The sequence below is a fragment of the Homo sapiens genome, chromosome 12 (genome assembly GCF_000001405.40).
Source record: "Homo sapiens chromosome 12, GRCh38.p14 Primary Assembly".
NCBI lineage: Eukaryota > Metazoa > Chordata > Mammalia > Primates > Hominidae > Homo > Homo sapiens.
Window position 1 is genome coordinate 113,843,839 of NC_000012.12, and position 11,971 is coordinate 113,855,809.

The 11,971-nt window shown below is 53.3% G+C and overlaps 1 protein-coding gene across 7 annotated transcripts in view; it reads right to left on the reverse strand.

The window, feature by feature from the left end:
- Positions 1 to 11,971, reverse strand: part of RBM19 (RNA binding motif protein 19) — a 149,586-nt gene that overhangs the window by 27,099 nt on the left and 110,516 nt on the right. For all 7 annotated transcript variants that reach the window (XR_001748932.2, XR_944848.3, NM_001146699.2 and 4 more), the window contains one exon: positions 830 to 950. Coding sequence is in view for 5 of the 7 variants with exons in the window: in NM_001146699.2 (NP_001140171.1) it covers positions 830 to 950 (121 nt within the window). In the remaining 2 variants the exon portion in view is untranslated. The remainder of the gene's footprint in view (positions 1 to 829; positions 951 to 11,971) is intronic.

Consider the following 11,971-nt stretch of genomic DNA (forward strand, 5'->3'; position numbering starts at 1 on the left):
CTCCCTCTCTCCTCCCCTCACCTCCAGCCATGCTGTCCTCCCTGTTTCTCACACATACCGAGCTTGCTCCAACCTGGGGGTCTCCCCTGCCCCTGGCCTCCTGCTTAGGCAGCCCTTTGTTGGGTACAGATGTCACCTCTGCAGTGAAGCCTCTCTAGCCCACCTGATGAGGAATGTGTCCCAGCCTCTTCCACCTGAGCCTAGGGCCCTGCTTGGTTACTGTCATGTGGGTGCATGAGGTCACAGCGGGCGCTCAGTATTTTCTGGCCACCACCTGAATAGTCACTGAGGCCACATGACACCACCAAGGTGGGTAAGAGGTGAGTGAGACCTGTGGGCATCAGCCCTCCGGCAGGAAGTGGACCGGGTCATGGAGGAAAGTGATCAGCAAGAGTGTGGTCCCCAGGGCTGGCCACCAGGAAGGCCGTGAGCATCCCTGCCCTGCGGACACCGGAATCTGAACACAGAGCACTGTGAGGACAGAGCCAACGGCCACGAGCTGTGACCTGGCAACCTGGCAGGCAGGGAGGGATAAACACTCTGACCTCTGTCTCTTCCTGCCAAGGCCCCCAGTGACCTAACCCGACTGCAACCCAAAGGGGCACAGAACCCAGATGCTTCCATGTAGGCCAGCCTCCCGGCAGGGAGTGCCCAAGGAAGGTGGACAGCAGGTCTGGAGGGGCTGTGGGAGGATGCCCAGCAGGAGGTGCTTGGCAGCCCTTGTGCCCATAGCCTGCTGGGTCGAGGGCAGTTCTCTCAGATGTCCCACCCACCTCTTGTGTTCCCCAGGGGGCCCATGAGTCAGCCCAAAAGACCGTCCCGCTCCTACCGTGAAAGTGAGCGGCCGTCTTCCGCCGCAGGGCCTGCAGGGTCACCTCGGAGTCGGCCCACTCCAGCACCAGCCTCCGCCCGTACAAGTGGGTGCTGTGACACAGGGCGTTGAAGGCTCTCTGCAGAGGGACAAGAAACGAAACTGCACATCAGCTGGATCAGTGCGGCAGACACTCCACTCTGCCTGCCAGCTGCCTGCCTGCGTCTCAGATGCCAAAGCCCAGGTTCTGGCCCCGTGACATCTGATCTCCAGCGAGGGTTTGGGGAGCGGTTGGGCACATCTATTTAATTAGTGGGTTGCATTCCCAGGGAGAAAGCTGCAAGTGACTGAGCAGTCAATATATCTGCCGTCTGGGCTGTAATTGGTGCCTGGGCTGAGGCAGCCGTCTATTTGCCGTGTGTCATCCGATCTGTGGAGGGCGACCCCATTAGTGGGCTCGCCTCCCACCCGGCTGTCTGCATGGCGGCCACTTGAGAAAGCCGAGCCCTGGCCGGCTGCTGGATGACAAGCGTGCAGGCCTCTGGGTGTCACTGGGTGTCGCTCTCCTTCACTGCCCTGGTGACTCTGTCCCCCACGCTGCTCTTGAAGGGGCCCCTTCTGTCTCTGCTGCCAGTGCCCTTCGCTTCCTCGCTGGTTCCCCCAGCCCTGCGCTCCCAACTCCCGCTCCCAGCTCCCACCCCCAGCTCAGCAGCCTGGGTCCTGGCACAGGCTGTTCCCGCTTACTCTTTGCTGTTCCCGACTCCCACATGCTGCCTGGTTCCCTCTTTCTGCTTTTTAACAGCTATACTGAGACAGAATTCACATACTATATACACTGCTTGTCTGAAGACAATTCAATGCGTTTTAGTATAATCGCAGAGCTGTGCAAAATGTCATCAAATCAATTTTAGAACATTTTCATCACCCCCAAAGGAAACCCCACACCCCTTAGCTAGCAGTCCCCCAGCCCCTGGCAACCACCAGTCTGCTTTCTGTCTCTATGGATTTGCATATTCTGGACATTTCATAGGAACGGAATCATACGGTAGTGATCAGTACCGTCTTAAACATCGCTAGGTCTCAAGTTCAATGGCACTGCACAGGGACGCCCTAACTTGATGGGCTCATCCCCAAACACTCCCACGGCACAGAGAGGCCGTGAGCTTAGTGGCCAAAAGCTTGGAGTCTGAGGTCACCCTGACCAGGAAGGACAGACCCCGCAGGTCCTAACTTGAAGATCTTGGGCAAGTTAAAGAAATCTTCCTGGACTCTGTTTCCTTATCCATAAAACGGGTATGTTCATATATGCCAATCTCAAGGGTTCTAGGGACAAAAATGAGTTAACAGCGTCTAGAACAGTATGGGCACACCATAATTACTCAATAGATGCTACTTCTCGTTGCTGTTGTTTTGTTACCGTAGACATCACATTTGCAGCTGCTTTCTCTCAGCAGACAGCTTTCGGGCAGGCATTAGTTTAAAGAGCAGTAGGCTCCAGGTGCTTGAGCATTGGCAGTGGAGAGCAACGGTGGCTAAGAAGGCCCTTTGCTTTGCTTCTGGGTTGCAGAGAGCACCAGTGGGTACAAGAAGAGGAGGGGTTTGCTGCTCTTGTTTCTTTTATGCTGTGAAGAATCATATAACTGGAAGGGTCTGGATGGGAACCCATCCAACTGTGCTCCTTATCTACACTGTAGCTCCTATGGTCAGACCCTGTCCCGCAAGAGGGGCCATGTTGAGTCCTAACCCCCTGTGCTTCAGTATGTGACCTTATTTGGAAATAGGTAGCTGCAGATGTAATCAGTCAAGACGAGGTCATACTGGAGAACAGCAGGCCCTGAGCCAATGACTAGTGTCATTGGATGGCCATGTGAAGACAGAGACACATGGCAAATGCCGTGGGGAGATGGAGGCAGAGACTGGGTGATGAGTCTACAAACCAAGGATGCCAACTGTCCCCAGCAGCCAGGGGAGAGGCACCAAACAGGATTTCCCTCGGAAGGAACCAATCCTGCCAGCACCTTGATTTTGGACTTCTGGCCTCCAGAACTGTGAGACACATTTCTGGATTTTTAAAATGTGTTTTGAGGCAAGGTCTCGCTGTCACCCAGGCTAGAGTGCAGTGGTGTGATCATGGCTCACTGCATCCTCGAACCCCTGGGCTCAAGCAATCCTCCCACCTTGGCCTACCGAGTAACTGGGACCACAGGCACATGCTGCAATGCCTCGCTAAGTTTTTAATTTTTTGTAGAGACGGGGTCTCCCTACATTGCCCAGGCTGGTCTTGAACTCCTGAACTCTAGTGATCCTCCTGCCTCAGCTTCCCAAAGTGCTGGGATTACAGGCCTGAGCCACTGTACCCAGCCCATTTCTGTGGTTTGAAGCCATCCGGTCTGTGGCGTTTTGTTATAGTAGCCCTAGGGAAAGGACGCAATGCCCTTGGGTAATCAACTGCCACATCTTGAGCCTCCGTTTCCTCATCCCTATTGGGGCTGGCTGTGAGATTTACACAAAACGAGCACAGAGGGCAGCACATAATACACATTCAATAAACAAATGAATCCGAAGAGACAAAAGGGAGGTGACTAGAACATGCATCTTTTTAAAACTAGACATGCAGCCAAATTAAAGAAACGCTTTGTTCTCTTCTGTGCTGTTCTGTGAAGGACCAGGTGCAGAAAATTTTTTCTTTCCTTTTTTTTTTAACTTTAATTTAAAAAACTCTTTCTGACTGCCAGCAGAGCCTCTGCATTTTTTTCCATGTGGATATAAAAATGCATCTGGACTCTGAGCCGAAATGGCCCATTCAGAGCTTTAAAACACACGCGTTCTCAGCTGGCGAGGCAGAGAAATGGCTTGACTGGGGGAGCTGGGGTTTTAAGATGGGGGAGAGGAATTGGTGGGGAGTCTGGTGTGGCGGATGTTCCATCCTCGTGCCAGGGTCCCTGAGGAGCTGTGGTCCCGGGGACACGGTGGGGTGGGGGTGGCCAAGGGGATGCATCTGGTGAATGCTAGGCTGGAACTCTCAAGAACGGAATAAGATCCCAGGAGGTAGGTCCGGGTGAGAGGCCCCAACCCCAGCCTCTCTGTTTCCCACTGTCAGATTTCAATGTTTCTTTCTCTCCCTTGGAAGCCAGTTCTCTATTCCCGTACCACAGAAAGCCCAGGAGATCTCTATTCATTGCAGGAGTCACTAAAAATTCCCTCTTTTGGCTTCTTTGCGACATCACCTCTCACAAATCTTTCTCTCTTCCCTCTGCACTCCTCTGACACGTTATTGGCCTCTCTCTGGAAGAGCTCTTCATGGTAAGAGGGGTGGTGGCATGGCAGTTTAGAGGGTGGGCTCTGCTGCTGGCCTGCCTTGGTTCAAATCCCTGCTCCAGTGCTTATGAGCTGTGTGATCTCAGGCAAGCTGCTGAACCTCTCTGAGCCCGAGCTTCCTCATATGTAAAAGGAGGGCAGCAGCAAAGAGTAGTGAGAATTCAGAGAACTGTTAAGTCTGACACTTAGAACACTGGCACATAACATGTGTCACTTAAGATTGGCTGTTATTATGATGATGTATGCCTCCACTTTTCATTATCAGGCTAAAGAGTGGGGAGAAGGGAAGGTAAGACACAAAAGCTCTTTTGTATTTGAAGTTAGAGCACAATACGTGGTTCTCCAAAAATAGCAGAATTACCCTGCTGAGTTCTAGTCCCTGCAGGTTAATATGAAATCAGGTTGCATTCCCAAGTGCCCACTGCCTGGGTGGCTGGAATGTGGTGGCCTCAAACTGTCGCAGGCAGTGTGAGGACAGTGATTTGAGGCTAAAATAGGCCTTGGATAATCCAGAGTAATTGTGTTTCATTAAAAGAGCATAACGAGAGCTTGTTATATTTGACACATTCTAGGGGCAAGGCAGGTGGGGAGGAGGAGGAAGATGCAGGCCCGGGTCTCAAGGGGCTTTTGGGTTGGCACAGAAAAGACTGTGAGGAGCTTGGAAGGTTCCAGCCATCACAGAGGGAAAAGCACAAGCCAGAGAGGTCCACTAGCAGCTCCCTCCCTGGTGTCTACCTACACTTGACCCCACTGAAACTTGACCTCCACCTTCTCCCAAGCGTTTTTCTAAACCTCAGCTGCGGGCAAGATGCTCCTCTGCCAAAACAGCCCCTGGGCTTGTTCATCTCAGGAGACTGAGGAGTTACTGCACCTTTGTTCCTCTCCAAGTCTGGCTCCTGCTGTCTGATTTTCCTTTTGTGGCATCGAAGGCCTTCTTAGCATGGATGATCCTATCTCCTAGCTCCACGGCACTCCAAGCATATGACCTCAGCCTACTCCTGAGAACAGACATTATTCTCCTATTTCAATGAATGGGAAACTGAGGCACTGGCCAAGGTTTGTATGCAGGTCAACTTCCTTCTCCTTCTTCCTTTTGGCCTCTACACGTTGTCTCTGGCCCCTTACACAGACGGCCCAGGGAGGGTTCTGCTCCTCCTGCACAGGCAACAGCCAGGCACCCTCCCTGTGCCCTGGACACCTGGCCTCCGTTTCCAGAACCTGCTCCCTGCCCCATAATGCCTTCTGTGTGCCAGTCTTCCTGACTCAATCTTGAACCCTGGAGGGAAGGCGCTCCATGCTTAAGATCCTCAGCCTGGTGCTGGGGCAGAGGCCACTCAGTCAATGTTCACAAAGCACACTGTGGCGTCTCCTTCACTGGGTGTCTTGAGAACACGTCTCCAGACTGGGGTAGATGGTTAGGCTGGTCCTAGCTGGGGACGCAGGGCTGGCTTAGACGTCCTGCCACAGTTCCCTTCAAACCCCTGCACTTTATAGACTACAAACGCAACGGGGATAGGAGTATGTCCCGTTCTGAGAGAGCAGGCAGTGCCTGACCATCCAGACGAGTGGGACATTTGGCCTTTTGAAACGATACACAAATAATCTTGGGTCTGGCTCTGCTCCCAACATGCCTGGCTTGGGGCTTTGCAGGATGGGAACAGTAACCTGCACCACTATGGCTCGAGAGATCGCATGTCAGACCCCCAGATGGTCTGCTGGAGAGGCCTGAAGATCCAGCACAGAACCCCGAGGATGCAGGAGTCCAGCAAAACGAACGTCACAGAAGAGAAGCCACCTCTGCTCTTGGGAGCACTTCCTGCCATCATTGATGGCCAGGGCTGATTATTCCTGGTCCCTCCTCCCCCATCCTCTACGCTTTAGGAGCCAACTCTGCACAGTGTGACCAGGGCTCCCTTGGCCTCTGGTTTCTACTGAGGTGAAGCAAATGGGTGGCACTTCTGGGAGACTGGAGGAAAGAGGGGAAGAGGGAGGAGAGAGGTTGGTGCTGCGTACCTCCCCCTCCCTGCAGGGCTATAGCTCCTGCTCAAGGCCTCTCCTCAGCAGCTCCAGCCCTGGCTTTCCTTCCAACCCTCCTCTTGGCCTAAGGGAGATGACAGTTCTGGGGGCTTCGCCATCCCTGGGGAATCCCTTAGCCCTACCTATGCCTCCATAAATACCTCTTCATTCACACCACCTGGGGGTGGGGATAGATTCTGTTTCTTGCCAGATCCCTGGCAGGATCTGGAGTCCCTTTGCCTTGACCGGGGGACAGGTGGATTTCCTACTTCAGATGGGGTGTCTCGCATGCCTTGGCCCTACTCAGAATTTGAGGCCTACCCAGGAAAGCTCTGAGCAGGTCTAGCCAGACTCCAGGGCTGCCCTCATGATCCAGCTCTCTGGCTCTGCTGTCCTGAAATCACAGCTCTTTGAGCTCCTCTGACTCAAGCCATGGACTCCAGGCATCAAGAGGCCTGGCCTCCTGCCGCCTTTTCTGAATTCCCTTAGAAGGCAATCTGCTAAGGTGGTGTGGGGTTGACAGCTGCAGGCTAGACTGTGGCCCAGCCTGGTGGCCTCTTTCAAGAACTGGGAAGGCATTGGAAGGCTGCCATTGCAGCACTGGGCCTGACCTTTCTGCAGCTTCCCTGGAGACAGACCTCCTCTCAGCAACAAAAGGCATTGCATGCCCTTGGCAGGACTTCCATCCCAAGGGGCTGCGAAGAACTGCCCAGGGCCACGGCTTCTGGGCAGAGCTGAGGACAGTATTCCTGTCTTTAGAACTCTAAGGCATTCTCCTGGCCCCTTCTGCTCCTCAGGGAGCTGTCCCTGGCAAAGCCAGAGGGCTGCATCTCTCAGCAGACGATAAATCTGTCCTAACAAGGACGACATCAACCCCTCCGAAACCTGCTGTGCCCCCAACACCTAGAGTAAGTGGCTGGCACTGTTGGGGGCTCTCTGCAGAGGTGGTCAAAAAATTGAGGCCAAGGACTTCTGGGAGGAGGGTCTGCCTCCCTGGGGTGTTTTAACGCCATCACCCTGAGAGAGAGATAGATCCTTTCCTTCGGTCCCAAGGCTCCCACTGTCCTGTGAGTAAGCTCTCAGCAAACCTCACTAGCTGCTTCCATCCTCACAGGGTAGCTGTCTGCTAGGCAGGAGTTTGCCCAGAATAAGTTAAGCTCCCTGCACAATCTTGGGTGACTCCCATCCCGGTCCCTTCCCAGAAATGACACCATGGAGCTGAGGGTGAACTTCTAGGAGAGACATCCAGGGTCAGCTTCTGGGTGATGCTGTCTGAACTCTTCAGACAAAGAGGCACCTCTCCCTCTCATTCATTCATTCCCTAGCTCGCTCAGCTCAGTGCGATTCGGCTCAAAGTCTCTGGGGAGCTGATTGTGAGGCAAACATGAGACGAGGAGACAAAAGTGGGACACACTTTGGACCTCTGCAAGTTTATAGCACCCCTGGGAGAGGAAAGAGAGCCACTAGGGAGAGAGGGCCAATGCCAGGGACCCAAGGGCACCAAGCCACAAGGCCACGGGCAGCACGGACAGCTGAGGCTCTGGGCTCCCCTCAGGCACAGGCCTGGGCCTGCTGCTTTCAATAAACTTCTCTGAGTTTTCAATTTTTCAACTGCAAAATGGGGGTGCTTCAGCCTCTCAGAGCTGCTGGGAAGCATAAATAAGACAGCAACTCTTCCTTTAGCCCAACGCCTGGCATAATGGGAAGGGCCTAATTCCTGGTACCTGTTGCTGGTGCCATTTGTGGTAAAGTTTTTTTTTTTTTTTTTAATTTAAATTATTTTAGGCTGGGTGCGGTGGCTCACGCCTGTAATCCCAGCACTTTGGGAAGCCGAGGCGGTGGGAATCACTTGAGGCCAGGAGTTCGAGACTAGCCTGACCAACATGGAGAAACCCCGTCTCTACTAAAAATACAAAAATTAGCCGGGTGTGGAGGCGCACGTCTGTGATCCTAGCTACTTGGGAGGCTGAGGCAGGAGAATCGCTTGAACCGAGGAGGTGGAGGTTGCAGGGAGCAGAGAACATGCCACTGCACTCCAGCCTGAGCGACAGAACGAGATTGTCTCAAAAAAAAAAAAATTATTTTAATGCTGTTAAAAGGGAGGAAGGCTGTCAAACTTGGCTGGGAGTTTTACCTTTCCTTGATGACTAGTACGGCCTGCCTGATAAATCTGAAATGAGGACGTCTGAACCTGAGTCCTTCTCACTCTGATCTCTGTAGGACTGTGCAGTCCTCAGTCCGCACAGAAGCTCCAGGGACACAATTAGCAGGGGGGTCCGTCCTGGCACTGAGTCTTGGCCACAAGGGCTGCTCACCTGCCCATCTGAGGAGGGCAGCCTGTCCTGATCCCAGGTCTCAGCCCATATACATGTGTGCTGGCTGAGCCTGCCTTGAAATGCAAGCTCGGGATTCAAACACATTTTCAATTCCTCCAGGGCTCTGCTGAAGAAAACTTGGCAAAAAGCCCACAATTACAAAACAGTCATGAGCGCACACACGTCACATGCACACCTGAACAGAAAAGTGGGGACAAAACTCCAATTCCTGAATTTGCTTTCGGTTAACATTTTGGGACACACAGGACAATGGACACCTAGGTTTCAGGCTGCAGCACCTCTGATCCCTGGGGGCCCAGAGGAACACTCAGCCACCCTCACTTCTTTGGTGTCACGTGCCACAGCCTGTGTTAAATGCTTTGCATGCAACATTCTGCTTCATCTTCACAAACGCCTCAAGGGCAGCCTTATTATTGCCTGTGTGGGGACAAGTCACTTGGGCTAAAGGGATCTGAAGTCCCTTGTCCATGTTCGCACAGCTGCAAAGAGGCCGCTTGATGTCACAGGCCACACTAACCAGCGTGCAGCACGTTCCTCCTCTGCACTCAGTTTAAACAAACGTGTTGAACGCACGCCACTGACAATCTAATAGCGATGGTTTACTGTGCACACAACACGGCTCAGCACTGTGCTGGGTGCGCTGGGCACCCGGCGAGGAGGAAGGCTGTCCCGGCCTTAATGAGCTTTGTCCGGCTCGCTCATCATTGGTCCCTTCCACTACAGGTCCTGTTTGGCTAGAATCTGCCAGGTGAAGACAGTAGGCTCACAGAACACTCCTCGAGAGGCCCAGTGCGAGCTTCTGCCAAAACACTGGCATCCCCCAGGCTGGGGAGGGCCTGGGCCACATGTCCACATCCCTTCCTCTGCCCCAACCCTTGGCAGAGTGGAAAAGTGAGAAATGAGGAAGGAGACATTAACTGGTGCGACCCTACAATGAAAGCTGTGGTTGTTTACCACAGTGAGAACAGCTCTGCCTGCCAACGCCAACCACCATCGCGTCTCCCTACTGCTGGCTCCCCCCAAGTGTTTATTTAAGCCAACACATTGCTCTGCTAATTGGATAGCATTCCATGTGAAAATAGACCTTTTAAAACAACAGCAGCGGTGGCAAATAAAAACAGCTGCAACTGCAAAAGTACAAAGGCACGGCAGGCCTGGGGAAGGGAAAAATTAAAGGCACATTGCATGGGAAAAAATTAATATTCTGGCTTCTGGGCTGCAAGTCTATTCTTTGTGGTCTTCCCCTTCCGTGTTGCCCTTCCTTTCTTCCTTCAGGACCAGCCCGGTCTGGGTAAAGAGAGAGGAGGTGGCAGCTTCTAACTGGAATCCCAATGGCTATTGGTGGCCACTCAGCCAATGGGGATGAGTGTACCTGGTAGGGAGTCCCCATTATAGCTGCCCAGGTGAAAGGCTGCTGCCTCCTCAGTGAGGCTACTCCTGGGGATTGGCAGGGTTGGAAGGCAGCACGGTAGAGTGTGCTAGTGGGGGCAGCTGACTGAATGCCCACTCCTCCTCTGGGGGCTGGGGGGAGTTGATTTCATTCTGGACTTGTTCCCAAGAGACGTTTTAAGGGACAACCTCTTGGCCTTCCTCCAAAGTGTCCCTCTAATTGGAGAGTCCTTCTCCTTGGTGAGGTGTCAGGGCTGGGTGAGAGGTGGTGGGCATGGTAGGGAGAAGGGGAGCTACCCAGAGCCTGGCGTGGAGATACACAGAATTTAAGTGAATCAGTGAATGAAGGGAGGAGGAATCCCTGAATGCAAGCTTTGGAATTAGATTTTTCCCAGCTCTGCCAAGTGCCACTATAAGATCTTCAGCAAGCAACTTTGTCCCTTTGAGCCTTGGTTTCCCAGCTGTCAAATGGCCTCCTACCACCTATCTCCTAGAGTCCCATGAGGATTAAAACTTATATATGCAAATATCCTACACCATCCCTGCCAAAGACGGGCTTCCAGAAGTTGACAGTTTTTATCAACTCAAAGATATTGCCCTTTTAGAAACTTCCAGGTCGTGTGGTCCCCTGGTTGCATGGCGTTGATGACACAACTGACAGCCGTGCACACGGTGTAGACCCAGGCCACCCAGGAGACCGCTGCATTCAGGATGCAGTCCTGCTTGAGTCCTTGACTTCCTACACCACCCCCATTCTCCTTCCCCCATCAACCTCTGTCCCCTGCTTCCCTCCACATGTGGGGAAGGCTCTTTAAGAAATGCCGGATCATCACACCTGGAGGTTTAGATAACACCAGCATTTTCAGAGGGACTGACATTTACTGCCCGGGACATCAGGGGCTGATAGAATGTCCTAGAGTGGGAGAATATGCCAGCTCATCGATCCTGCTTCCTCTGAGCAGGCCTCTGGTCACCAGGGCCCGTGATGAGGGCAGATGGTCAGGACCCACCCCCGGTTCACTGGAGCAGCTCAGTAACAGACCGGGGTCTGGGCTTCCCATCAATTCATAGGGCTCCACGGTGGCTTCAGTGCTGGAGTTTAGCAAATGCTCAGCGAGACTGGGGAGGGAGACTGGATGCAAATCTCCCACCCGATGCTGGAGCTGCCACAGGTTGGGGTGGGGCAGTGCGAGTGTGGTGAATGTCACATACAAAGCCAGCGCGCTCGCGGGAGCCTCTTGCTATTATCATCAGTTGCCTGGTTACTCTGAGCTCTGCCACAACAGCCTTTGAGGAGCCTCTGGCTAGGATTCTCTTTCCAGTTTGGGGGTATGTGTGCTGAATCCAAAAAGGGCTTGATAGATATCACAGAGCCCTCGAGGATATGCACAGTGGGACGTGGGTCTCATGGAGAAGGGTCAGACAACTCAGAACCCCTCAGTTCGGGGACGGTGGAGACGGCATGTGCTCAGGGCCACAGCAGGGACTGTGGTGTTGAGGGGATGCCTTAACTCTTCTATCCTCTGTCAGCAGGCAAACGGACTGGTGGATGATGGGGAAAGAACACTGTTCTGGGAGTTGAGATACCGGGGAGCAAGCCGCGGCACTGGCCCCTCCCAGAAACCATTCATTTCTCCATTCCTGTTCCAGCCTCAACTTCTACAATGAGCTTAGCTGCCCCCTCCTTTCAGCCTATCCTGGTCCCTTCTTTCCTCCCATCTGACGATTGCTGGGGCAGACCTCCTGGCTTAAGAGGTGGCCGATGCCAACACAGGGGGCGACTATTTATCTTCATCGAGGGTGCCATGACAGGAAATGGGATCAATGCCCTTGGCGGGGGATCTGAGTGGGTCAGGGTTGAACTGAGCCCTGGGAAGGGTTTTTGAAGGAAATCTCCTTCCCTAAGAGCTTCAACAGGGGGAGGATGCACAGGAGCCGGCCCTGAGAGGCTGGGATCATGGAGGATCCTCTACCAGCCCTGGGTTCTCACTAATTCCTTCTGCTGAGATAAAAAAGATCACCAGTGCTTTTGACTCCATGTCTCTGGCAGTATTGCTCTCCCTCTTCAAACTCACGCCCACCCTCAAGAGCTAACTAGATA